Source organism: Homo sapiens, chromosome 11 (assembly GCF_000001405.40).
Source record: "Homo sapiens chromosome 11, GRCh38.p14 Primary Assembly".
NCBI lineage: Eukaryota > Metazoa > Chordata > Mammalia > Primates > Hominidae > Homo > Homo sapiens.
This window is the reverse complement of record NC_000011.10, coordinates 122,903,908-122,931,710: the sequence shown is the minus strand read 5'-3', so window position 1 is coordinate 122,931,710 and position 27,803 is coordinate 122,903,908. Positions and strand designations below refer to the sequence as shown.

General features: G+C 41.5%; 1 protein-coding gene and 1 pseudogene across 5 annotated transcripts in view, besides 1 other annotated feature; both read right to left on the bottom strand.

Moving 5' to 3' along the window:
* Positions 1-27,803, bottom strand: part of JHY (junctional cadherin complex regulator) — an 81,104-nt gene that overhangs the window by 32,152 nt on the left and 21,149 nt on the right. For 3 of the 5 annotated variants that reach the window (NM_001363089.2, NM_024806.4, NM_001363087.2), the window contains exons 3-4: positions 27,267-27,786; positions 6,701-6,814 (exon numbers count right to left, since the gene is read on the bottom strand). In NM_001363089.2, the coding sequence (NP_001350018.1) occupies positions 6,701-6,814; positions 27,267-27,786 (634 nt within the window). Of the gene's footprint in view, positions 1-6,700; positions 6,815-25,800; positions 26,540-27,266; positions 27,787-27,803 lie in introns of those variants that run through there. The other 2 variants (NM_199124.3, NM_001363088.2) reach the window with 2 other exon arrangements.
* RNU4-23P (RNA, U4 small nuclear 23, pseudogene) lies at positions 4,538-4,677 on the bottom strand (annotated as a pseudogene).
* Positions 10,638-11,249: an enhancer, noted in NCBI's record as "OCT4-NANOG hESC enhancer chr11:122791170-122791781 (GRCh37/hg19 assembly coordinates)". NCBI's record gives its function as "activates a minimal SCP1, AML or CMV promoter by ChIP-STARR-seq in primed H9 embryonic stem cells {active_cell/tissue: H9 hESC(primed)}" and the evidence as "EXISTENCE:reporter gene assay evidence [ECO:0000049][PMID:30033119]".

Sequence of the window (27,803 nt, the reverse complement as noted above, 5' to 3'; positions counted from 1 at the left end):
CTCCTGCTCTTAGTTAACCTGACTCAACCGTGGAGTCCTGAGAGTTGTGCCTGGGCTCTGAGATCAGCTGTAAAGTGAAGACATGTCTGTTGTGTTCTGCTTTTCTGCTGTGTTTATGAACAATAAAACATGAGTACTTTAAGCCCGAGATACAAATTCCATCTGATAATATTAAGAGAATCTCAAGCAAAAATATTAATTGGCTCTGATTTTCTCTGTGGGTAAGGAAGAACTCTGTGTTCAGATGAATAGAAGAAGCATAGATCTATTGATAGTGTTGGAGGCAAAACCAAATTAACAGCTTTTTGGAAAGGTTAATCAGGATTTGATTACAAGGGCTTTCATATTAATAAGTAAAAGGTCCTATATATCTTTAATACTATCATTACCTTTTCTTTGCCTGGAAAGCTAAGAGTTATTTTAGAGGGGTAAGAAAGAAAACATCCTATTTATCCTTTTGAAACATTACTTAATTGGGGAACTTTTAATTTTTTTCTACTGGCATGTTTCTTGCCTGGTGCCATGGTTTGAATGTTTGTGTCTTCCCTAAACTCGTACGTTAAATCCTAACCCCCAAGGTAATGCTATTTAAAGGTGGGGTCTTTTCGGGTGACTAGGTCAGCAGGACGGAGCCCTCCTTCTTGGGATTGATGTCCCTATAAAATAGGCTCAAGGAAGCTCATTCCCCCCCTCCATTGTGTGAGGACACAGTGAGAAAGCATCACCAATGAACCAGGAAGCAGATCCTCACCAGACATAGAAACTGCCAGTGTCCTGACCTTGGACTTCCAGCTTCCAAAGCTGTGAAAAAAATAAACCTCTGTTGTTTCTAAGCCACCTGATCTATAGTATTTTGTTATAGCAGCACAAACAGACTAAGATACCTGGAAAAGATCTTCTGCCAGTGGGAATGTGCCCCTCACACTGCCCAGCAAGAGTCCTGAGCCTTAAACATACTGCATTCAGTCTGGGCACACAACCTAAGCAGGATTTGGAAAACCTGTGAAGATTCACAGGCAAGTGCGAAGCGATTCAGGACGCTAAGGCCTATGTAGCAAGGTTAAATGAAGAGAGATGACTTGGCTTCAAGTGATGGATCTGGGCATGGATAAGACTCTTACATAGAATATGATGATGACCATCATTCTCAGTATTTTTAAAGTAAAAATACATAGGCTGAAATGGTCTCAGGCATATCTTCTCTCTTTTCTCGCCCTTTCTCTGGTTTCTCGTTCTTTCTAGCATGTAAATGTATTTAAGTCTCTCCTATGAAAAGAAGGAAAAAAACATTCACTTGAATACATCCTCTGGTTAAATCCTATCTCTTTCTTGGCTGGGCACAGTGGCTCATGCCTGTAATCCCAGCACTTTGGGAGGTAGAGGCGGGTGGATCACTTGAGGTCAGGAGTTGAGACCAGCTTGACAAACATGGTGAAACCCTGTCTCTACTAAAAATACAAAAATTAGCTGGGCGTGCTGGCCTGCACCTGTAATCCCAGCTACTCGGGATGCTGAGGCAGGAGAATCGCTTGCACCTGGGAGGCAGAGGTTGCAGTGAGCCAAAATCACGATACTGTACTCCATCCTGGGTGATAGAGCAAGACCCTTTCTCAAAAAACAAAAGCAAAGAAAAATCTATCTCTTTCTCAGTTCACAGCTGGGCGTCTTGATGGTGTAGACTGCACTGGTCTCTGCTCCCCATCTCTCATGCTGACCTCTGTCCCCTGCCATAGAGCGTTCCTTCTCCCCATCCCGCTGAAATTGCTCTGTTCAGGCCACCAATAAACTTTTAGTCACCAAATCCTGTGGGCACTTTTTTCTTGACCTTTTTATTTTCAAGTTATTTCAAACTTACAGAAAAATTGCTAGTATGGACAACTCTAAAGGATTCTTATCCAGATTGAACAATTTTAAACATTTGGTCACATTTCATCATTTTCTCTGTCACTCCACACATAAACAAACAAATATACATCTATCTACATATATGTAATTATTATTGTTTGTATTTTTGGTATTTAGTCTTTTCAAGTCATGGAGCCTTCCATATACATGAGTTGCATGTGTAATGTCCCTTGCACGGCACCTCACTGCTGGGTACCTGCTTAGATTGCGAACAATCTCTTCTCCAGTCTGAGTCCTGGGATGCGTGAGGCAGACAGCAGCCCTTACCAACTATGTCAACTTTTCCCTCCCTAGACCATACAAATAGCAGCCAGAGCTGTCATGGTTCCTCGTTCCTCCTCCCACTTTCACACCTTTGCCCGGATTTGTCCTTCTAGGGGCAGCTGAGATACTGACTCCTATGGGGGTTATTTCTCCGTCTTCTTAGGGCAGAATTAGTTGCTCTTTTAGTTCCACTGCATTTTGTACCCAGGTCCATATTACTGCATTATAATGATTACATAATGATTCCCACTAAAGTGTTGAACTCCTAGAGGGGAGGTACTGCTTTAAAAAAAAAAAAAAACAAAAAACAACCTTGGCCAGGCGTGGTGGCTCACACCTGTAATCCCAGCACTTTGGGAGGCCAAGGCAGGCAGATCACCTGAGGTCAGGAGTTCGAGGCCAGCCTGACCAACATGAAGAAACCCCATCTCTACTGAAAATACAAAATTAGCGAGGCGTGGTGGCACATGCCTGTAATCCCAGCTACTTGGGAGGCTTGAACCTGGTAGGCAGAGGTTGTGGTAAGCCGAGATTGTGCCATTGCACTCCAGCCTGGGTAACGAGAGTGAAACTCAGCCTTAAAAAGAAAAAATGGGCCAGGCGTGTTGGCTCACGCCTGTAATCCTGGCACTTTGGGAGGCCGAGGCGGGCGGATCACGAGGTCAGGAGATCAAGACCATCCTGGCTAACACGGTGAAACCCCGTCTCTACTAAAAATACAAAAAATTAGCCGGGCGTGGTGGCGGGTGCCTATAGTCCCAGCTACTCAGGAAGCTGAGGCAGGAGAATGGCTTGAACCCGGGAGACGGAGCTTGCAGTGAGCCGAGATTGTGCCACTGCACTCCAGCCTGGGCAACAGAGTGAGACTCGGTCTCAAAAACAACAACAACAAAAAACCAACAACTACAAAAAACAACCTTTCTTCAAGTTTTATTTATTGTTTTAAAGAATTTTTGTTGTTGTTTGTTTGCTTGTTTTTTTTTTTTTTCCCCGTATCTTTTGGGCCAGGCACCTAATCCACAGTGCCTGGAATGCAGTAGATACTCAATAAATATTTGTTGTGTGAAATATTTTGATTTTGCACAAAGATATTTCACATTAGTGAAGGTTATTGTTGTTAGGGTAGGTTTATGAAACTCTGAAAGTCATTTTTCAAGAAAAAATTTTCAAATGAGGTCCATTTTCTCCTGGAGATACACTAAATAATCTTTTTATCTGCATTTTGTATTTTTTAGAGACAGGGTCTTGCTCTATTGCCCAGGCTGGAGTACAGTGGCACCTGTAACATCGAATTCCTGGCCTCTAGCAGTCCTCCCTCCTTGGCCTCCAAAAAAGCAATAGGATTATAGGCATGAGCCACTGTGCCTGGCCCATGATCTTTAAATGTTTCTTTAATCAGTCAGTAAATATTTACTGAGCATCAGCCTTGGGCAAAGCACTGTGGTAGGGGATGTAGAGAAAAATACAATCGGTACCTTAAAAGATCTTGTAGTGTAGTGGGTACAAAAGAAACACAGGCACAGTGGCTCACGCCTGTAATCCTAGCACTTTGGGAGGCCCAGGCGGGCAGATCACCTGAGGTCAGGAGTTCGAGACCAGCCTGGCCAACATGGTGAAACCCCATCTCTACTAAAAATACAAAAATTAGCTGGGCGTGGTGGTGGGTGCCTGTAATCCCAGCTACTCAGGAGGCTGAGACAGGAGAATCGCTTGAACCCAGGAGGCGGAGGTTACAGTGAGCCAAGATCCTACCATTGCACTCCAGCCTAGGCAACAAGAACAAAACTCCGTCTCAAAAAAAAAAAAAAGAAAAAAGAAAAGAAAAGAAAAAGAAACACAGGCAGCAGTTAATGAGACACGGCCCAATATGGCAGGCCCTGAGCCAGTGGCCCAGACTACAGACACAGCAGGAGCTGAGGGCAGAGGAGCAGGGTGGGAGAGGCTGGGAATCTCCATGCAGAGGTGGCCCTTGAGGAGGCACTAAAAAGAAGGCATTGGACTTGGGTAGTTGAAGAGGAAAAAGAAAGGCAGCCTAAAGTGTCTGTGTCCCAGAGTGCTGGGCTGGTGTGTAGCATGCAGTGGGCAGTCCACAAATCCTTTCCACCTAAAGAATGGGAAACATCCCTTAGGCCATTTGTGGTTATTGTCATTTTAGGTCAATAACACTTTTTAGATGTTTTGCTCCACAATTTCTTCATTCAGGAATGGGTTATAAGAGCATTAATTACAGTACACGCAGGGAATAAAAAGCATTCTTTTGGTTTTCTTCTGATTTTCTTCCATACAAAAGTTTTACTGCTTCTGTCAAAGGTCATGCCATAAATCAAGCACTGCGATTTTACCTTGATTATTATCATTTTTTCTTCAGTCTCCATAGAGACTATCCAAAATTGCCAATGCCGACTATATTTCAAGTCATCATGGTGGGTATTAGGAAAAGTTTTCAGTTAGCAATAATTGCACCCTGTATAAACCTCACTGGTTATGATGTTGCCACTGGGCAAAGCTTTTTACCTCGATCATTTTATCATTAGCTGAGAATCCTATGGCTTTCCTTAGTGACAATTATGAAAGCTACAGGTTGCGATAATCTTACATGCTTCAAATGTATTTTTCTATAATAATTTAAATAACTAGAAATGCATGGTCATAGAATTCTAGCATTTTGCAGCTGAGATGGACCTTGAAGGTCATTTAGACTAATCCTTCATTTAATAAAGAAGAAATTTAAGGTTTTGAAAAAGCTGAGATTTGCCCAGTCATGAATCAAGTAAATGGCAGGCTGAGGCCCAGAAATTCATCTCTCGTGACCCAGTCCATTACCCATAATGCATGGCAAATCTTAAGGTATTTCCTTTGTCCCTGGTTCCTGTTGACCAAGCTCCCCTGGCTCTCTATCACATCTGGTAGTGGATCCTGTCCTCCACATCCCACAGCCATGAGACATTTCAGTCGCCATCCTCTCAACTTCTAGGTATGGCCTCACTGGCATCAACTTTCAGGAAGCTCTGGGTGAATGACTTTTTATTTCTTTTTTTGCAACTCTTAAGAGAGGCCTGGAGTCCACTGGAGAGGAAAAGAGATGATTCGGGCTGTCCCTTCTTTCTAACCTCTCTGAAGCTCAGGTAAAACTCATTATTATTTTTACTATGTTTATCACTGTATATAGTTTTAACTGATGTCAACAGGCTCTATAGGTTCAGTAATTTTCAAAGGACTCATCTCTTCTTAGGCAGGGATAAAGCCTGGTCCAAGGGTCCACATACACGGGTCAAGAAAAACCTGAGCTTCTAGTGCTTTTTCTATTTTCTTTTTCTTTTTCTTTTTCTTTTTTCTTTTTTTTTTTTTTTTTTTGAGATGGAGTCTTGCTCTGTCACCTAGGCTGCAGTGCAGTGGCACAATCTTGGCTCACTGCAACTTCCACCTCCCAAGTTCAAGGAAATCTCCTGCCTCAGCTTCCCTAGTAGCTGGGACTACAGGTGAGCACCATCATGCCTGGCTAATCTTTTTTTTTTTTTCTTTTTTGATACGGAGTCTTGCTCTGTCACCCAGGCTGGAACGCAGTGGCATGATCTTGGCTCACTGCAACCTTCGCCTTCCAGGTTCAAGTGATTCTCCTGCCTCAGCCTCCTGAATAGCTGGAACTATAGGCGCCTGCCACCAGACCCAGCTAATTTTTGTAATTTTTAGTAGAGATGGGGTTTCACCATATTGGCCGGGCTGGTCTCGAACTCCTGACCTTGTGATTCACCCACCTCGGCCTCCCAAAATGCTGGGATGACAGGCATGAGCCAACGGGCCTGACCTAATCTTTGTATTTTTAGTAGAGACAGGGTTTCACTATGTTGGCCAAGCTGGTCTCAAACTCCTGACCTCAGGTGATCCACCCATCTTGGTCTCCCAAATTGCTGGGATTACAGGTGTGAGCCATTGTGTCTGACCTTTTTCTGTTTCTTCTAGAAAAACAGTGTGGAGAATTTCAGAAAAATCTTCCCTGAAATCACATTTATGATTTCAAAGTAGTAAACCCAAGGCCAGAAAGGATGTCATCACGCTAAATGACCAGTTGGTAAGCTTTTATATTCTGAAAATGAGGGTTTGGTGAGGCTCTGGGAATTCCCATCCAGTTTTCAGGAATAGTGTCCCCATTGTCTAGGAATAATAAGTAACTGCCAACTCCAAAAGGAATCAGATTTGGGAGCAGCACAGAGTTGGACAATTCTCTGGAACTGTGATTTTTCCTGCATGTCTTTCCATGCCTTCCTTCTGTGTGGGGTTCTAACTCAGTATGTTGGAAGTGTGATATGATTATTTTCTTCCAGCAAACAGAACCCTTGGAAAAACAGGTAGGGTTGGCTGGCTGAGCAGGCAATGGCTCCTCTGAGCAGAAGCCAGTCTTACCCATAGGAAAGTGGGTAATTATTCTCAGGCATAAAAATAAACCCTTAAGTGATAAGAACTCAGTCACGATCATTACTTATATTCAGCAGTATCGCTTGAAACACACTTAAAATGCAATCTAGCAGGTAACCTTTAGCTGTTGTGCTCTTTGATGCCATTTATCTTCAGGATCGATGGCAGCATTTTCCATTTCCTTGGCATTCTGAATAGACGTCTTGTCTGTTACTCTGACGGGGTAGGAGATCTAGGTAGGTAAAACACATACAGCATGTTAACTGGATTCATTTTAGTCTTAGAGCCATGGGACTCAAGTCTGTGCACTCTAGAAAACGGTCCTGCTGGGCTAGGTTTTATTTTCAGTTAATTTCAAGGATTCATCTCATCAGTCCTCAGGGACCTGATTGTTCTTAAGGAGAATGGGAATAAACAATGTTTTCTCTTGCAGACACGAAGAGAAAACTGGTGCGTTAAGGTCAAACTATTACTTACTTTACATGCTCAATACATACTCAGGGGACCCAATTTTAGAACAGTTATCTGAACTGGATGCAGCAAGTAACGTTTGATCACACCAATAGAAACACTATGAAATAACACTATACGCCAAGATGATGACGACAACAGAAATAACAATGTTTTCTACACATGGAATGCTCGCGGTGTGCCAGCATCTGTCCTAGGCCCTTAGTTCTCAGGTAATCCTCACAACCACCTTATTAGGTATGCATATGTTATTACCCCCTTTTTGCAAATGAGAAAACAAAGGTACAGAGAGGTTAAGTAATTTGCCCAGGATCAACAGCTAGTAAGTAGTAGAGCTGGGTGGTCTATCTCCGGAGCCTGCACATGCAACAATGTTGCTAACTCACTTATTAGAAATATCCTAGACCTGCACAATTAGTAGTTTTGGTACTCAGAGAATTTGAATAATGTAAAGTCAGTGGTTCTCAACTTTAGTTAGATATTAGAAAAACCGAGGAAATTAAAAAAAATACTAATGCCCTGATCCCACCTCAAAACCATTAAATCATAAGCTCTGGGGGTGGCCCCAGATATCAATATATTTTAAAAGTTACCTATCTACTATTTAAAAAAATTTAAAAAGTCCAGGCGCAGTGGCTCACACCTATAATCCCGGCACTTTGGGAAGCCAAGGTGGGTGGATCACGAGGGCAGGAGTTCAAGACTAGCCTGGCCAAGATGGCGAAACCCTATCTCTACTAAAAATACAAAAAAAAAAAAAAAAAAAAAAAAAAATTAGCCAGGCGTGGTGACTGGGGTCTGTAATCCCAGCTACTCGGAAGGCTGAGGCAGATAACTGCTTAAACCTGGGAGGCGGAGGTTGCTGTCAGCTGAGATCATGCCACTGCACTCCAGCCTGGGCGACAGAGTGAGCCTCCGTCTCAAAATAAATAAATAAATATAAATAGATAAATAAATAAATAAAAAGCTCCCCAGGTGGGTCTAATCTGCAGGCAGGTTTGGGAACCATGAATGAAGGCAGCTATGCAGGATTTAGGTTCCTAAGTTATTTAAGGGCCCTTCATTGCCTCCATTAGTTACCTGTTTTAAATCAAGAAATTAGTGTCTGTGTCATGTGGAATTCCAGCCATCAGGATGTACTGCAGGAAGCAAACTTAAAGTTATGCAATCTTAATGCTGGAAAAGATTCTGGAGATAATCCAGTTCTCCAGTACATCCACACCATCCCTGGTAGATGTTTACTCGCTGTCTGCCTAAATTCATGCCCCATTTCCTGGCAAGACTTACCTGTTTGTCAGTATTAGTATATGTTTAAAGATCTTCTACGGGTTGAGGAGGAGAAAAGAAATCTGTTTCATGCATGATAAACATATTGCTCCCTAACTGAGCAACCTGAATGCCAGAAAGCTTTTCTTTATATGAGCAGATATATGTCTCTGTATTTTCTATCCCTCTGCCCTCTGGAATAACACAGAACAGACTAACTCCTTCTTCAGACAACAGCTCTGCGCAGCTAGAAGCTGACCCTGCTCTCCTGTGAGCCTGCTCTTATTTAGAGGACCGACTGTCTCATTCCCCTGTGCTGCAGTACTCAGGTCAGCCTCCTCTGCCCACTCTCTGCTCCACTGCCTAGAAATGCTGTCAAGTCTGTCCCTTCTGAACTGACGTAATTAGTTTTAAAATTTAGATTTAGGACTTTACATGCGTTTTGTTACATTTCCTCTGGTGGGCTGTGTAGTGGAGAAGCAGCAAAGTGTATGACTAGAAAGAACTTGGGTTTTGGGATCTGTCCTGTTTGTGTTCAGATCTCCCCTCTGCTGGTTTTTTTTTTTTTTTTTTTTTTTTTTTGAGACGGAGTCTCGCTCTGTTGCCCAGGCTGGAGTGCAGTGGCACAATCTCGGCTCACTGCAAGCTCCGCCTCCCGGGTTCACGCCATTCTCCTGCCTCAGCCTCCTGAGTAGCTGGGACTACAGGCACCTGCCACCACCCCCGGCTAATTTTTTGTATTTTTAGTAGAGACGGGGTTTCACCGTGTTAGCCAGGATGGTCTCTATCTCCTGACCTCGTGATCCGCCCACCTCGGCCTCCAAAGTGCTGGGATTACAGGCGTGAGCCACCGTGCCCAGCCTCCCCTCTGCTGTTTACCTTGACTTCAGACTTGTATTCAATAAGAAAGAGGTAAGATATTTGTTAAATATTAAGTGATAAGTAAATGTTTGACAATGAAGATACCCTCATTCCTGACCACTCAATGTGCCTTCCCTGGACAAAACACAACATTTTCTTTCTTTTATTTCAGGTGTAACCTTACTTCTACCTGAGCTATCTCTATTAACTTTACTAAAGTAACTATCACAATTACTGTACTTATATATAGAGAGATAGGGCAGATAGATGGTGTGAATGTTTGAATACTTAAAGGTTGATCTGAAAGTGGGAAAAAATAAAAACTTTTTAACATTTTTGTGCTTGAATTTTCATTCCTAAAACACGAAACAAAAATGGACTGTTTGATCATGAAATTCTTCTGATTACAAATAGAAGTAATCACCAGGTTTTGAATGATTAACCTACATGGCAAATGGAAAACTTCACATCATGAAACAATTCAACTTGTGCTAAAATGAAAAGCTTAGAACTATAAATGAGCTATTTCTCTTCTTTCTCTCTCTTTTTTTTTTCCAGATCTTGCTCTGTGGTCCAGGCTGGAGCGCAGTGGCATGATCTTGGCTTACAACCTCCGCCTCCTGGGCTCGAGCGGTTCTCCTGCCTCAGCCTTCCAAGTTGCTGGGACTACAGGCATGTGCCACCACACCCAGCTAATTTTTGTATTTTTAGTGGAGACAGGGTTTCACCATGTTGCCCAGGTTGGTCTCAGACTAATGGACTCAAGTGATCGGCCTGCCTCCCAAAGTGCTGGGATTACAGGCATGAGCCACCAAGGCCAGCTATTTATCATATTTTCTATCTCAGTCCCTCTCACAGTGCTAGTTCAAGATGAAACACTAGATCCTTATAAAAGTATTAGATTTCACAGCTTTTATCAACGTTATAGCAAAGGTTTCAATCCCATATAACCATGATGTTCAACAGAAACATGACTCATTTAAAAGAAAAATCAACTCTATCTTGGAGGAGAAATGAAGGTCAAGAGTAAAAAAACTAACTAAGCTGACTTAGCAGGCAAGGAAATCATCCTTTTCAAACCTCAAAGTGGGGATGACTGAGAGAAACTGTCGTCTGGAGCCTGGGAAAAAAGGAAGTTGAACTCTTTCATAGATCTGCCATGAGGATGCTGATTCCCTGACTTTTGTAAGTGTCTAAGAAATAAAGGGGACTTAGTTTAGTTAATTCAGGTTATTACTGTTGATACTGTTTGATTGACAATGATGGAATCTCTTACATAGCACTGGTGAAAAGTTTACAAATTAAAAATACAGTGTCCCACGCTTCCTATTCCAGAAAATGTAGGATATACATTATTTCCCTCCACAGGCTGTTTTGGTAGAACACAGTGGCTGAATCACCCCAGTGAGATCCCTGGGCAAGTAAAGCATACTTCTACATTATCTCTTTCAAAGTGGAATGGGACACAACCTCTGCCAGCTATTTTTTTTTTTTTGTGAACCATTCTATTAATACCAATCAAATCGAGAAAATGATCAAATGAAATTGCATTTTGAGCATCATAAGCTGTGTAATGTCTATTCTGTTAAATTGGGGCCTATAATTGCTTCTCTACTGAAAAGATACAACAAAGACAGCAATCATGGCTTGTCATTATCCCAGACTAGAAAACCGGCCTTTGCAGGGAGGACTTCAAAGGCTTGTGGTTCTCGAATTGCATTTGGCTGCTATTGTTGAAGCGCAGGCAATCTTGATGAGGTGTTTACACTGAGGTAAGGCGCAGAGCAGAGCGGCTGAGTGCCTGGGTCTAGAGCCATTAAAAAATTGTACATTATGTTCCTTGCTTTGAAGTGAGGGTTTGTAGGTAGGAAAGCAACTCAGATTGAGTACAGCTGAGCTAGATTGGGCTGCTACTTCTTGCTCAAAGAAACTCATCAGGTTCTTAGAGAATCAGACAGCACTACAAAAAAAGTTGATGCTTTACCAAGAGCTGTATGTGAGTCAGTGAATCCGCGTAAAGACACACTGAAACATGTTTAAATAAGGATGTTACCGTTAAGTTCTGCAATCACTGGAGGTTTTGCCTTTTTTCCTTTATATTCTGTTTTTAATACTGACCTTATGTTTAGATGTTGTGGGGAGCCCCACATTAATTTATTGGGTTCTTTGTTACTCTCATTCTTTGATAGTATTGACAACTAGCACATATCCAAATTAAATAGAGTTGATTTTTTAAGTAGTATTAGCTTACCATCATTCCAACACCTATTATTCAATTCCTTGCTTCCAGGCATAATACTGGATTCAGTGAGCATTTCTCCATTAACTTGGCTAAGGAGTGAGCTGAAGTATTTATTTCTTTACCCTATTTCTAATATACCTTGCTGTGTGTCGATTCACACCTGCTCACGCCAGCACTGCTGCTGCCTGTGTTTAGACACAGCCAGCAAAAGAGGTGGAGACACAATGATAGAAATTGTCTGCCAGTCTGCCATTGTGAGGCTGCAACCCTGATATTTAGCACAGCTGTTTCAATTATCCAAAGGTTTGTATTATTCAGCTGTTTAGAGGCAAAAGACATGAAATATTTTGTCTCTGCTGTTGGCCATAGTCTCCATTCCTATAGATTACCTCATAATGTATTTAGCATGCACATACATGTTCAGTGAGAATTGGGTGACACTGAAACGTTTTTTTTTATTTTTCATATTTTTAGTATAGACGGGGTTTCGCCATGTTAGCCAAGCTGGTCTTGAACTCCTGATCTCAGGTGATCCGCCCACCTCAGCCTCCCAAAGTGCTGGGATTACAGGCGTGAGCCGCCGTGCCTGGCCACGAAACTTTTGAATATATTTTTTTCTACATTCATTTTCAGCTTAAGATACTTGAACTTTAAAAAGCCCCAAGCTAATGGTCAGTCACCTACTTAAAAACCCTTCAATACTTTTCCATTACCCTCCATCTTCAAAGATTTATAAGGCCCTGTGGCCTCGGGTTCCTGTCTACTTCTTCAGCTGTGGCCCCTTGCTCCCTTCCTGCTGTACCTTTCAGTTTCGCTGATGCGCCAGGGGCACCATTGTCTCTAGGTCTTTGCATAGGCCATTCTTTGCCTGGAAATTCACTTGTTTAGGGAATTTCTTTGCCCCTTCACTTCTTTTTTTTTTTTTTTTTTTTTTTTGAGACAGAGTCTCTCTCTGTTGCCCAGGCTGGAGTGCAGTGGCATAATCTTGGCTCACTGCAACCTCCGCCTCCCAGGTTCAAGTGATTCTCCTGCCTCAGTACCCCGAGTAGCTGGGATTACAGGCGTGCACCACCATGCCTGGCTAATTTTTTGTAATTTTAGTAGAGACGGGGTTTCACCCTGTTAGCCAGGCTGGTCCCGAACTTCTGACCTCAAGTGATCCGCCACCTGAGCCTTCCAAAGTGCTGGGATTACAGGCGTGACCCACTGTGCCTGGCCCACTTCACTTATTCTGACCCATCCCATCCACTGTTCAGCCTTGGCTGAAATATAACTTTTTCCAGAAAGCCTTCCCTGCCACCCCAGAGGCAGCTACAATAGCTGCATCTGAGCGCATGGCCTTAGTACTCTGTACTTTGCTTTTGTAACAAGTATCACCCTGGTAACTGCTTTTTCTTCCCCCCTTCTGGACTGTAAATTCCAGGAAGGCAGGAAAAAGGACGGACCATGTGCAGGGCTGTCTTGCTGTATAGCTCTACGGGTACTACTCACCTGTGCTATGCTCTGAATGTGCCTGGCATCTAGATGGTCAATAAATACGACGGCATGAAAATATCAATCTGGGTTGCTCACTGAACTTGCATTTATATCAGAATACATATAATCTACTTGTTTATCTGGTTAGATGTGTGGTTTATTTTAAAGCCAGGTAGCCGGCTGTTGACAAAATAAGGTGGAAACTAGAACTTCATCTTCCATTCCACTCTCCCTTGTTCCCATCTTCAGTCCCTGAAATTTGCATTTGCTACTCCCTCTTCCAGAAATCCTCTTTCTCCAAATATTCGCATGGCGTGCCCTCTCACCTCCTCCATATCTTCTCAGGGAGACTCTGCCTCATGGCCCATTTAACGTTGTGATTTCCCAACACCTCAGCAATCCTTAGCAGTTCTGCCAGCCTTATTATTTGTCTCCTTACCTCCTTAAAATATAAAACTTATCATGCACCAATGCACTAATTTATCTATTTTGTCTGTTGCCCATCTCCTTCCTCAGGAGGCCTGGGATTTTTGTCTGTTTTTTTTCAGGGATGTATCCCAAGCACCTATGACAATGTCTGACATATAATCATCTCTCAATAAATGTATGCTAGGCTGGACACAGTGGCTCACACCTGTAATCCCAGCAGTTTGGGAGGCTGAGGCAGGCAGATCACTTGAAACCAGGAGTTCGAGACCAGCCTGGCCAATATGGCAAAACCCTGTCTCTACTAAAAATACAAAAATTAGCTGGGTGTGGTGGCTCATGCCTGTAATCCCAGCTACTTGGGAGACTGAGGCATGACAGTCGTTTGGACCCGGGAGGCAGAGGTTGCAGTGAGCTGAGATGGCGCCACTGCATTCCAACCTGGGTGACAGAGTGAGACTGTGTCTCCAAAATAAATAAATAAGTAAAATAAAATAAATAAATATATGCTAAATGAATAATGGCCATTTTTAAGAATGTGAAAGAGATTTTTAGGAATATCTCATATAACTTACAGAAAGACTGATTATCCAGCAATCTGAACTCTCCATAACTAACTAAGAATATGTAAGTGTGACCTCTGAATGGACACATTAGAGATAAAAACAAAAAAATCACAAAGCTCACACATTGCACTGAAATTGCTCCACTACTAAAATTCTTCAATGAATTCAGATGACTTAGAGGAAAGGCCTAACATTTTAACATAGGGGTTTTAAAATTTGAGCATGTATCAAAATCACTTGGAAGGCCTGTTAAAACACAGATTGCTGGACCTCACCCCAGAGTTTCTGACTCAGGAGGTCTGGCATGGGGCCCAAGAATTTCCACTTGTGTTAAGTTCCCAGGTGATGATGATGCTCCTGGTCCAAGGAACACAATATGAGAGCTTCTGCTTTAAAATGACATACAAGGGACTGCATGAAAGACGTCTGCCAATTTCTCTAACCTAAATATCCATATTCTCATCCTCACAATCTAGCCACATACAACTACAGCACTATCCACCTTCTCCTTAACTAACTCACTGGATGAAGTGACATTTTCTAGTCTTGAAGATATCCTGAGGCCATAGCTAAATGCTTACGGCTGCTAGGCTCTCTCTAGTACACCTTGGTACTTCTACTTCCACTTGTTGAGTTGTATGTTTACCAAGAGTCTTTTCCATTTGTTCCCAAACCTGTTTATTCCTATTGTACCTGTTGTTAAAATTAGGAAATGTATTTAAAGATTAGATAATCTGAAGAAATCTGAGCATGAATAGAGAGTTGTTATATTCATGAAAACTTAGTTAAATGATTTAGAATGACCCAATAAAGCAAATGGCAAAATAACATGTTGGGGGTGGGGGGAACTATAAAAGATTAGGGGAAGCATTCACAAAAACCTAGCGATTATGGCCAGGTGCAGTAGCTCATGCCTGTATCTCAGCACTTTGGGAGGCTGACGTGGGAGCATCACTTGAGGCCAGGAGTTTGAAAGCAGCCGGGCGAAACCCTATCTCTACTAAAAATACAAAATTTAGCTGGGCGTCATGGCAGGCGCCTGTAATCCCAGCTACTCGGTGGCTGAGCCATGAGAATTACTTGAACCTGGGAGGTGGAGGCTGCAGTGAGCCAAGATCATGCCACGGCGCTCTAGCCTGGTTGACAGAGGGAGACTACATCTCAAAAACAAACAACAACAACAAAAAACAAACAACAAAAAACAAAAAACCAAAACACACCTAGAAATTATGTTCTTAAATTGTTTCTTAAGGTTTTTTAAGTTTGTACTTTGCTATCAAGAAATCAAAACTGCAAATCATAGATGCTCTCAAACTGATGCAAGAAAAACAATGAAACTCTAACCAATAGAATCTGCACTGGTAGAAAAGACCTTGGCCCCTTGGTAAAAAAACTGGTGAATTAGTGTATATTTATATACGTTAAGTGAAAGTCAAGTAATTACGGTATATAGTTATCATTTTTCATACCTGCTTTAACCAATTTAAAACAAAATTGTATTAATATATAATGTTTGTACATATTTATGGGGTATATGTGATATTTTGTTATATGTACAGAATGTGTATTGAACAAGATATGTGGGGTATCCATCACCTCGAGTATTTATCATTTCTTTGTGTTGGGAACATCTCAAATGCTCTCTGCTAGCTATTTTGAAATATACAACACATTTTTACTAACTACAGTCACCTAACTTTGCTATGGAATATTAGAATTTATTCATTCTATCTAACTGTATGTTTTTACCAACTGACCAACCTCTCTTCATCTTCCCTACCCCCGAGACCCTTCCCAGCCTCTGGTAACTATCATTCTGCCTTTTACCTCCATGAAATCTTTGATTTAATTGACCAACTACCAGTTCTTGACCAGCAGTATAGAAGTTCTTTCTGTACTGACAGCTTTCTACTTAGTGTTCTTTCACGACTTCATGCCATTGCCCCTGCCCCCTTTGCCTGCAGTGCCCTAACTACCCACTTCCACCTGTTAACTTCTTCTTTTTAGGGCTGGGTGCTGTGGCTCACACCTGTAATCCCATCACTTCGGGAGGCTGAGGCGGGTGGATCACTTGAAGTCAGGAGTTCAAGACCAGCCTGGCCAACATGGTGAAACCCCTGCCTCTACTAAAAATATGAAACTTAGCCAGGCATGGTGGCGGGTACCTCTAATCCCAGCTACTTGGGAGGCTGACGCAGGAGAATCGCTTGAACCCAGGAGGCAGAGGTTGCAGTGAACTGAGATGGTGCCACTGCACTCCAGCCTGGATGACAGGGCGAGACTCTGTCTCAAAAAACACAAACAAAAATAAAAACAAAAAAAATACCCTTTTTCATTTTAAAGAATGAGTTCCATGATTGCCTCTTGTGTGAGGCCCCCTCTGACTTCCCTGGACAGTCAGGCACCTTTTCTTCCGGGTTTCTTGGGGACCTTATCTGATACTAGCATAGCAGTTTTCACTTGGTATTGACTGTTTACATGTCTGCTTCCCATTCTGCCATAAGCTCCTTAAGAGCAGATACAGACAGCAGCAGAAAATGACCGCGGGCTCATAGCAGTCTGGGTCATTTAACAAAGAGGCAAAGAAGCGATCACATTGCCATAGCTTTTTACTTTACTACAGAACGGTGCAATATGACCTGTGTAAGTCAGCATAGAATTATCAGGTATGCCAGGTACATTCTGAAAACTATCCTTAAAAATGATAGAAATTTATGTTAAATTTCTGGTTTTCAAAGGGGCATGCTTTGGTTATGTGGAAAATTTTTTTTTCTTATGGATCCCTCTTCAATAATGTCAAATTAATGAAGTGTCACTCTATAGATCATACAAATTGGTAGTTTAAGCAGCTAAGTGTTGAACAGTGCACACAAGAAAGAGGCCTTAAAAATGGCTCGTATTGAAAAAAATCATAAAGTTCAACTGAAATTATGCTGTCATAAGTAAGTGCTCTTGTAGTAATAGCAGAGGGCAAAATAAGAAAATGTATCAATCGATGAACATCTATAGAGTTCCTACTCTGTAGAAGAATAATTCTTACAAGTATAATAGGATAGGTGGGACTCAAAAGCACCACCAGGCCGGGTGTGGTGGCTCACACCTGTAATCCAAGCACTTTGGGAGGCTGAGGCGGGCAGATCATGAGGTCAGGAGTTCGAGACCAGCCTGACCAACATGGTGAACCCTCATCTCTACTAAAAATAGAAAAATTAGCCGGGCGTGGTGGTAGACGCCTATAATCCCAGCTACTCAGGAGGCTGAGGCAGGAGAATCGCTTGAACCAGGGAAGCGGAAGTTGCAGTGAGCGGAGATCGCATCACTGCACTCCAGCCTGGGCTACAGAGCGAGACTCTGTCTCAAAAAAACAAACAAAAAAAACAAAAAAACAAAACAAAACAAAAACACCACCCATCTGAAGAATCCTATAAGAAGATAATTCTATGTTTCTAACCAAATATAATTACAAAAAAATGACCATAACTTAAATAAAGGTAAAGCTTAATCTTATAGACAACCAAAAGTTTCACTAAATTTAAAACTATGAAAAAGAGCAATATATCCTTTAGGTGGCAACCTTCCACATTAGGAGACGTAAATTTAAACCAAACATTCAATAATAAATATAACTTATATTTATATAAGGCTGTAAGATTATAAAAAGCTTTCACATTGCATATCTCATTTGATCATCTCAATAATTCTGAGTCTGTGATATAAGGCAAACATTTGTAATTTTACTTTAATGAGGAAGAAGAAGACTCAGTAAGAGTTTGTGATTTGCCAAAATAATAAATGGCTCCAAATGGGACTCAAATCAGGTCTTTTGACTTCAAATTCCAGTGTTTAACAGCACAAGTTCTTGTTAATCCCCCTCCGCTTTTTTATTTTTTCATTTTGAAAACAATGAAATTTTGAACCAAAGGAAAAGTATTTAAAAATTACATTTCTTCATCAAATATTTAGCTAGTGCTTGCTGTATGCCAGGATCTGGGAATTCAAAGATGAACAAGTTCATGATCTTAAGGAGTAGACAGTCATCTTTACATGATGCAGACAGTGCAGTGTGGGGTTACGGGTTCTGCAGGAGATGTTCAGGAATGAGGGAGGTACTGGAAGGAGGATCTTCAGAAAGCCTTTACAAAGGCAGAGACATATGAGCTGAATCTCAAAAGGAGGATAAGGTTTTCCTAAGCAAACAAGCCAGGGCAAGAGTAGCCCATGAGCATGAACAAGGAAGGGGCTAGAGGAAATGCCGGGTCTGGGCTCTGTGAGTTCCTGGAGTATGGCCAGGCATTTGACACAAGTAGGGATTGATGAAGGATGAGGCTACAGGAGCAGGAAGGAGCCAGGTCAGGAAGGGCCTTTCGTACCACTCAGAGTTTGAGTTTTATTTTGAAGGTAACATGGCGTCACATTAAGCAATGTTGAAAGAATTACCCTATGAAATTGTACTTCAAAACTAAAGTACCAAATACATGATCCCGAGTTATTAATAAATTCCTTATTTTAAAGTGTAAATATTTGAAACAGTATCTGAGACCACATGCAATTGTTAAATACTGTCAACTAGTTGCATACAAGATTGTAGCGTTCTGTAATCCCTAGGACAGTGTTTGATTGACCGGGGACCCTCAAGAGAGCATGGCGAGTGTGGGGTGTGCCTGGATAGGCCCCCTTTGCAGGCAGTCTTTTGAGAGTCTCACCATCGAATGGCCTCCTAGGGCGTGTGAACGTTATTGTTTTGCCTACACTTTGTTCTTACTCTGTCTGAAGTTATATCTCTTTCATTTTGAGGCAATGCAGCCTTAAAAAAAGAGAGAGCTGGTTAGAAGGGCCTCTTCCCTGGGTGGAATCTTCTCCCTGGTGTAAGGAGTGCCTAGTGGTAACGATAGCTTCTCTTCACTGAGTGTCTGCCCCGAGTCCGTAGCTTGGTATAAATTCTTCAAATAGCCCTCCGAAGCAGAAATATATATATATGATATATATTTATATTCCTTGTTTGCTTCCTCCATATATAGATGAGGAAGGTGAGGTGAGGTTTATTTTTATTTATTCTTAATCTTAATTCTTTTCTCTTTTTTTGGGACAGAGTCTTACTCTGTTATCCAGGATGGAGTGCAGTGGTGAGATCCACTCACTGCAGCCTCGGCCTCCCGGCTCAAGTGATCCTTCTGTCTCAGCCTCTGGAGTAGCTGGGACTACAGGCGTGCCCCATCATGGCCAGCTAACTTTTGCATTTTTTGGTGGAGACGAGGTTGAGCTAATACGGGCTATGCTGAAGAGCCAGGATTTAATCCATGATTGACTCTCAAATCAGTATTTTGTTTTGGTTTTAGTTTTTCTCCAATATTTCGTTGTTCCCTAGCAAAAATGCTGCTACCAGGGATGGGGCCAACCAAAGCTCTTCCTCTAGATCTTGCATACTTTTCTCTTTCTTATCCATTCGCACCTCCACTTGAATGATACGTCCTCAGAGAGACCTTCCCCAAGCACCTGGCTAGACATCCCAGTTTAACCTTTTTTTTTTTTTTTTTGAGATGGAGTCTCACTCTGTCACCTAGGCTGGAGTGCAGTGGCGAGATCTCGGCTCACTGCAACCTCCGCCTCCCAGGTTCAAGTGATTCTCCTGCCTCAGCCTCTTGAGTAGGTGGGATTACAGGTGCGCACCACGAGGCCCAGCTAAGTTTTGTATTTTTAGTATAGACGGGGTTTCACCATGTTGTCCAGGCTGGTCTCCAACTCCTGACTTCAGGTGATCCGCCCACCCCAGCCTCCCAAAGTGCTGGGATTACAGGCATGAGCCACCATGCCCAACCCCCAGTTTACTTATTAAAGTCATCACTTTATTAAATAAAGGACTTTATTCTCTCTCATTACTTTGTCTCTTTTTTTTTTTTTTTTTTTTTTTTTTTTTTGAGACAGAGTTTCGCTCTTCTTGCCCTGGCTGGAGTGTAATGGCGCAATCTCAGTTCACCATAACCTCCACCTCCCGGGTTCAAGCGTATCTCCTGCCTCAGCCTCCTGAGTAGCTGGGATGACAGTCATGCACCACCACGCTCAGCTAATTTTGTATTTTTAGTAGAGATGGGGTTTCTCCATGTTGGTCAGGCTGGTCTCGAACTTCTGACCTCAGGTGATCTGCCTGCCTTGGCCTCCCAAAGTGCTAGGGTTATAGGAGTGAGCCACCACGCTCAGTCTCATCACTTTCTTAAATACAGTTTATTCAGTCTCTTTTGAGGTATTATCAGTATCTGAAATTATTTTGTTACATGGTTCTTATCTTTGCCGTATGACTGGAATGTAAACTCCTTCAAGATAGGTGCTCTGCCTCTCTTGTTTTCTGTTAATATCCCAGCATTGAGAGGAGTACCTCATATTTAATACATATTTGGTGCTCAATAAATATCTGTTGGCTGACTGACCTGCTGTCTCAGCAACAGCCACAAAGATGTGTTAATTGAAGGTAGGACTGTGAACTGTTTGTGACTTTATATTGTCTTGACTATAGGCCATTCAATAACCATATCACATTTGTAAACTATCTGTAATTTCTTTCCAAGAAATTACAAGGAAAAAGTCAAATAACATGTATAGAGCATTTCTAACTCTTTTCTGAACCCATACTAAATTTCACCTTCATCAGTCTTTAAAGTAACATTAGAATCAAGATAGAAAGGTAGTTGATTTTTCAAAACACAGTTTCCTTTAACGGTGGATTACAAATGGACTCAAAGTGGAATGAGTTTCAGACAAATACTTTAGGCTAGTGAACAAATCATGAATAAAAGTAAGAACTGATTATTCACCAGCAAAGTTACTGCCTGACCGTGATACTTAGGTGCCCTCTAGTGTGTGTTGGTTTTTACATCGGTTCCTCGCTTCACACATCATGTGATTAAGATTTTGTCATGTATTCAAAGGTGATTTTTCCAATGTATGTTAATGTACAATCAGCAGATCTATGCAAAATGGCAAAAAGACTATAGAACAATTGACTTTAAAAATCAATAGTTCTACCCTAAGCCATTAATTACAAGCATAAAATGCAATTTAGGAGGTTAGCAATCAGGGGTGTGAAGTTATAAGGGTTACTACAAAATTTATACTATAAATGTCTCCTCCTATTTTTGTTGCTATTTTTCCATTTTAATTTTTAAAAGATAATACATAAGTATGGTTCAAAATTAAGAGATTTGAAAAGGTACACAGTAAAAAGTTGTGCTCCCGCCCATTCCCCCTCCACCTCTTGCAATTAACTGCTTTTGTAGCCGTCCACAATTTCTTATGCGTGCCATGAAAATACAATATATATTTTTATTCCTTTCCACTGTTTTTTGGTTTTTTTTTTTGGAGACAAGAATCTCACTCTGTCGCCCAGGCTGGAGTGCAGTGGTGCGATCTTGGCTCACGGAAACCCTGCCTCCCGAGCTCAGACAATTCTCATGGGCTTCCCGAGTAGCTGGGATTAGAGGCACCCGTCACGATGCCCGGCTAATTTTTGTATTTTTTAGTAGAGACAGGGTTTCACATGTTGGTCAGGCGGGTCTCAAACTTGTGACCTCAAGTGATCCACCTGCCTTGGCCTCCCAAAGTCCTGGGATTACAGGCATGAGCCACCACACCTGGCCCCTCTCCACTTTTAACATACTGCACCTTGAATTTCTTTCTTAATAAGAAATCCTGGTAAGTTATCCCTCATAGTTCATGGAAAGTGTCCTTATTTTTTTTTTAACAGCTGCAGTGTACTCTACCGTATGGATGTACCATAACTTATTTACTCCCCAAATGACAGATATTTGGGTGGCTTCCAATCTTTTGCTATTACAAATAAGGCTGAAATGAACAATTTTGTACAGATGTGATTTCAAAACTGCACACGAATATCTAGGATAAATTACTAGGTGCAAAATGTGTTGGGTCAAATAAAAATAATGTCAAACACTTTTATACTTATATGTATACCTATATACTTGCTATGGGCCAGTCACTGATCTTAGCACGCTCTATACATTTATTTATTTATTTATTTAATTTATTTTTTTGAGATGGAGTCTTGCTCTGTCACCCAGGCTGGAGTGCAGTGGCGCAATCTTGGCTCACTGCAACCTCTGCCTCCTGGGTTCAAATGATTCTCCTGCCTTGGCCTCCCAAGTAGGTGGGATTACAGGCACACACCACCATGCTCGGCTAATTTTTGTATTTTTAATATACATGGGTTTCACAATGTTGGCCAGACTGGTCACAAACTCCTGACCTCAAATGATCTGCCCGCTTTGGCCTCCCAAAATGCTGAGTTTACGTGGCCTAACTCATTTATTTAATCTTCTTAATAAGCCTATGAGGAAAGTCCTATTACTGTCCTCATTTTAAAGATGAGGAGACTGAGGCACAGAGAGGTTTAGTAATTTGCAGAGCGTCACCGAGCTGGCAGGTGGCAGTGCCAACCAACCTGGCTCCAGAGTCCATACTCTTGGCCATTATGTTTTACTTTCTCAAGGAGTATATTTGTGTTTTAAGTAGATATTAACAAATTGTCCTCCGTACTGGTTATACTAATTTATTCTCTCACCAGCTTGACCGTATTTTTTGCCCACAGGGTCATTAAACTTAAAGAATTTTGATAGTTTAATTGTAGTTGAAAAATGGAATCCCGTTATAGTATTAATTTGCATTTCTCTAATAGGCTGAGACTGAGTAACCTCTTATATGTGTAATAGCCATATATATTAACTTTTCTTTGTTAACTTTTATTAACAAGGAAAAATACACAAAAAGTATAAATGAACAATCTGTGAATAAGCAAGGATAATAAAGAAAGCTCTGGAAATTAAGAGTAATGAGAGGAACAGTCTGTGAATTGTTCATTTATACTTTTTGTGTATTCTTCCTTGGAATTTGGTCTTTTTCTTACTGATTTCTAGGATTTCCTGAAATCTCTACCAAAAAATACAAAAATTAGCCAGGTGTGGTGGCGGGTGCCTGTAATCCCAGCTGCTCTGGAGGCTGAGGCAGGAGAATCGCTTGAACCTGGGAGGCGGAGGCTGCAATGAGCTGAGATAGTGCCACTGCACTTCAGCCTGGGCGACAGAGTGAGACCCTGTCTCAAACAAAAACCAAAACAAAACAAACCAAGAGCCTCCACACTCGGTACCCAAGCTTCCCGCCTCCTACCCACAAATCAACTGAATAATCCTATCAGCCATGGAAAACATCAATGCTCTGTAGATAATGACTTATTCAACTCTGACTTTTAGATTTTGATAAAACCTTTGTGTTCTCTGTTCTAGCCCCTTGCTCATCAAAGTGAGGTCCATGGACCACCAGCCTTGCATCTCCTGGGAACTTGTCAGAAATGCACACTCTGCATCTCACCCCAGACCTACTGGATCACAATCTGTATTTTCACAAGCATCTAAAGTGGTTCATAAGCACTTTAAATTGTGAGAAGGAAAAGATCAGTGGTTCTCAAAGTGTAGGCCTGATGGCAGCAGCAGTAACACCTTGGGCCATGCAGAAAATTCAGATCCCTGGGTCCCACCCTACACCTGCTGAATCAGAAATTTGGGGGGATGAGGTCCATCAAGCTTTTTAAATAAGCCCTCCAGATGATTCTGGTGCACTCTAATGTTTAGGAACCACTGCTCTAGATCGGTGATTCTCAATCTTGGCTAAATATTAGAATCACCTGGGGAGTGTGGCGGACTCCCCATATTTAGAGTGCAACCCAGATGAGCTGAACTGGAATTTCAGTGGTTCATCTAGGGAATCAATACTTTTTAAATTCTCCAGTTGATTCCAATGTGAAACCAAGGCTGAGAACCACTGCTCTATTCTGGAACAATGCTTCTCAAACCTGGCTTCACATTAGAAATACTCAAGGAGTTTTATAAAAAAAACAAAAAAGAAAAACTGTTGCTCAGGTTCTCAGAGATTTAAATTGGTCTGAGTGAAGCAAAAAAAAAAATCACCTTTTTTTTTTTTTTTTTTGAGATAGAGTTTCACTCTTGTTGCCCAGGCTGGAGTGCAATGGTGCAATCTCGGCTCACCGCCCTGGGTTCGAGCGATTCTCCTGCCTCAGCCTCCCGAGTAGCTGGGATTACAGGCATGCTCCACCATGCCAGGCTAATTTCGTATTTTTAATAGAGACGGGTTTTCTCCATGATGGTCAGGCTGGTCTCGAACTCCCAACTTCAGGGGATCTGCCCGCCTTGGCCTCCCAAAGTGCTAGGATTACAGGCGTGAGCCACCGCACCTGGTCAAAAAAATCACTTTTAAAAATTCTCAGGTGATTCTGATATCTAGCCAGGTTAGCAAACTACTGCTCTAGAAATGCCATTCCCCCCATATAAACTTCAAGTTATAATAAAGAGTAGACAGTTTGGAGGTGATGGAAGAGATACATTTTTAATTTCCCTTATGTTTACTCAGCCTTTTCAGTGTCTTAGGCTAGTGACTATGAAGATTAAAAATGAGCACAAACCCTAGCTCCTACCCATAGGGAACATATAATCTGTATCGGGAGGAGAGACACACACACGTCTACATATGAATAACGGTTCAAAAAAAAAAACACATCAGTTTATGCTACTGACTAGAATTCACTAAGTTACACATATCATTATGTCACTGTTAGGTCAAACTCATCTCTATTCTTTTTAAAGTAATAGGAAGCCAGGTCAGTGATGCACACCTATAGTCCCAGTCACTCAGGTGTCTAAGGCAAGAGGATCACTTGAGCCCAGGAGTTCAAGGCTGCAGTGTGTGATGATCGAATCCTGCATAGCAACTACACTCCAGCAACATAGCAAGATCCCGTCTCAAAAAAATAATAGGAGTCATCTCTTAAAAAAATAATAGGAGCAAGAAGAAGTACATATATATTGGAAAATGGTAAAGGAACAATTTTAAATACAATTAGCCTTTAGATATTTGAACTTGGAGAAAGTGGTGGGAAAAGTCAATGGCCCCTTCAGAGAGTAATATAAGAGCTTAAAGAAAGTTTCCTCCATGGCACAAAGAAAAGAAAATTCAGCTGTGGAATCACTGACAATCAATACACCCTAAAATTGTTTAGTAAATTAACTTATAACTACTAACAAAAATAGCGATTAATAAATCAACAATTAAAGAGTTCATAATAAATATTTTTCCCTTTTATTATTGGAAATAAAACTATTTCTTTTGACCTCAGACTAAAAAGAGAGTTTCTGAATGAAGAAAACCCCCAAATGTTCTCCTTCCGGATCAGCTTCTTTTGAGAACACTTTTTAATAATGAAAAATATTGTCCTAGTTTGAGATAAATTACTGGCTATAAACATTTTTCAGGCTGGGCATGGTGACTCATGCCTGTAATCCCAACACTTTGGGAGCCAAGGTAGAAGGATCATTTGAGCCCAGGAGTCTGAGGTCAGCCTGGGCAACATGATGAGACCCCCATCTCTATAAAGACATTTAAAAACAAATTTAGCTAGATGTGGTGGTGCATGCCTGTGTTCCCAGCTACTCGCCGAGGCTGAGGCAGGAGGATTGCTTGAGCCCAGGAGGTCGAGGTTATAGTGAGCTATGATCGTGCGATTGCATTCCAGCTTGGGTGAAAGGCCAGACCCTGACTCAAAAGAAATTTTTTTTCAAAGATATTGGACTGTTGAATTTATTTTCATTTTTAAATGAGCAATCAAGCAAAATTCAAAATTTCATGTAAGTTTTATGGAACAAGAGTATACTAACATCTAAAATTGGGTAAAAATACTAAAAACTGCTTGAATTCACCTAGTTTTTTAAATACTTCAGCTATATATACTACACCTATTTCATTTAATTATTAGTTACAGTGGCAAAGATGTGACATAATTCTTTTTTTGAATTTTATTTATTTTTATTTTTAAATTAAAATATTTTTAGGCCCAAATTTCACCAGACATCATTCTTTTTTTATTTTTATTTATTTATTTTGAGACAGAGTCTCACTCTATAACCCAGGCTGGAGTGTAGTGGCGCCATCTCGGCTCACTGCAACCTCTGCCTCCCGTGTTCAAGCGATTCTTGTGCCTCAGCCTCCCGAGTAGCTGGGATTACAGGTGTGCATCACCACACCCGGCTAATTTTTGTATTTTTGGTATAGATGGGTTTCACCATGTTGGCCAGGCTGGTCTTGAACTCGTGGCCTCAAGTGATCCTCCCACCTCGACCTCCCAAAGTGCTGGGATTACAGGCATGAGCCAACGTGCCACCAGACGTAATTCTTTAAGACAAAAAAGGGAGTCTCTGAAGAAAAGCCACAAATGTTCATCCACCTCATCTATTTTGTTCCATTAGAAAATGCTTAGAGGTTAGAACAGGTTAGAATATGTTAAAAAAAAATACCAGTTGGGATTTGGAATAGGTCTAAGGGCAACCACATTTAACATAATAACCTCTCCTTTGTATTTGAAAATGACCTCACATTAGCAGGTGATAAATCTCAAGCTCTTTCCAGTAAGAGTGGTGGACTCTACCATTCTAACCCCACTCTTGTCCTGTATCCCTGGACATGTCCATAGGAGGTGGGCAGGAAGGTCTTTATGTGCACCTGTGAAATGGAACTAAGTTTACTGGCTCCAAAAGGTTTTGAATCCATCACGTGGGAGAGAATTTACTCTCAAAATGACCTGATGAGGAAGAGAAGGCATTTATTACTGTCCCAATTTTACAAATAAAGAGACTAATGTTTAATCATATCATATCATTTACACAGGACAATAACAAATGATGTGATTTTCAATGGGGTTTATAGAAACATCTGAAGATTGAAAAAAAAAACCCACCTTATGTTGTACCCTACCCACTCCCCGACCGCCCAATATGTATACAGAATCTGAGTTGAGAATCGCTTCTGTATGTGAGCTGGGGCATGTTCCATGTCACCCACAATGTGCTGGGGCATTTAACAGGGTTGAAAACCTCTGCTATGGTGGTAACAAAGGAAATCAACACAGGGAATCAAATGCTTAAGTTCTATATTTTATCATTTGGAAAACACAGTTTTAAAAAGTTCCAGATTTCTTTGAATGGAGAATTTCGGATATAATAACTGACATAACAATGGACTTATAATTACTTATAGCAATTATAGCAATTTTGGATATAATAATTGACTTATAGCAATAATCGACTTGTAGCAATTACACTGTAAACCATTGGTGGCTTTTATTTTGGTCATAAGAATTTATGGAATAAACATAAACATACAGGATAGCCTATGGAAGCGTTTGTTTTACCCAGCTAGGTGGCTGCTATGACATCGTCATCTTAAAGGAAGCGATATCTAGACACTGCAAACAAACGCAAATTCTGGTTTAATGTTTCAGAAGACATTTTAAAGTAGCCACTACGTACCTGTTCTGGATGAGATTCCCCTCTTTTTTTATTGTGAAGTTGAAGATAAGAGTCCGTTTTCGGGGTGGGTAATCCCAAAGTGAGCTTGTTTTTTTCCACAAAATGTTGTTTGGATTTCCTTCGCCGAGGGCCACGTGATCCCGGCAGGAAAACCTCGTTATGTGAACTTGAGCTCTTCACGTACGGAGAAAGGCTGCTCGACTTCTCCTCCAGGTCACTGTCGCTCAGCTCTGAAAACGGCTTGCTGCGACGGGCACCATGCTCATAGTTTGGGCTTAAAAATTCACTACCAAGTAAAGAAGCTGCACTCTGTGGACTCTCTTTCTGCTCGCCTTTTCCCCCGGAGAGTTCCATTGACGTCTCCTGGGAAGGGTAGAGGGGAGCCAAAGGCAGATTTTCTAAAGAGCTGTCCGTGGACTCCGGCAACGCTTCCACAGACAGCAGCTGCCCTTCCTCCTTCTTACTCTTCCAGTTCGGGTCATAGCGGAGGTCTGAATATTTGTCTTCTATTGGTTGTTGCCTGCCCAAAGCAGAAGA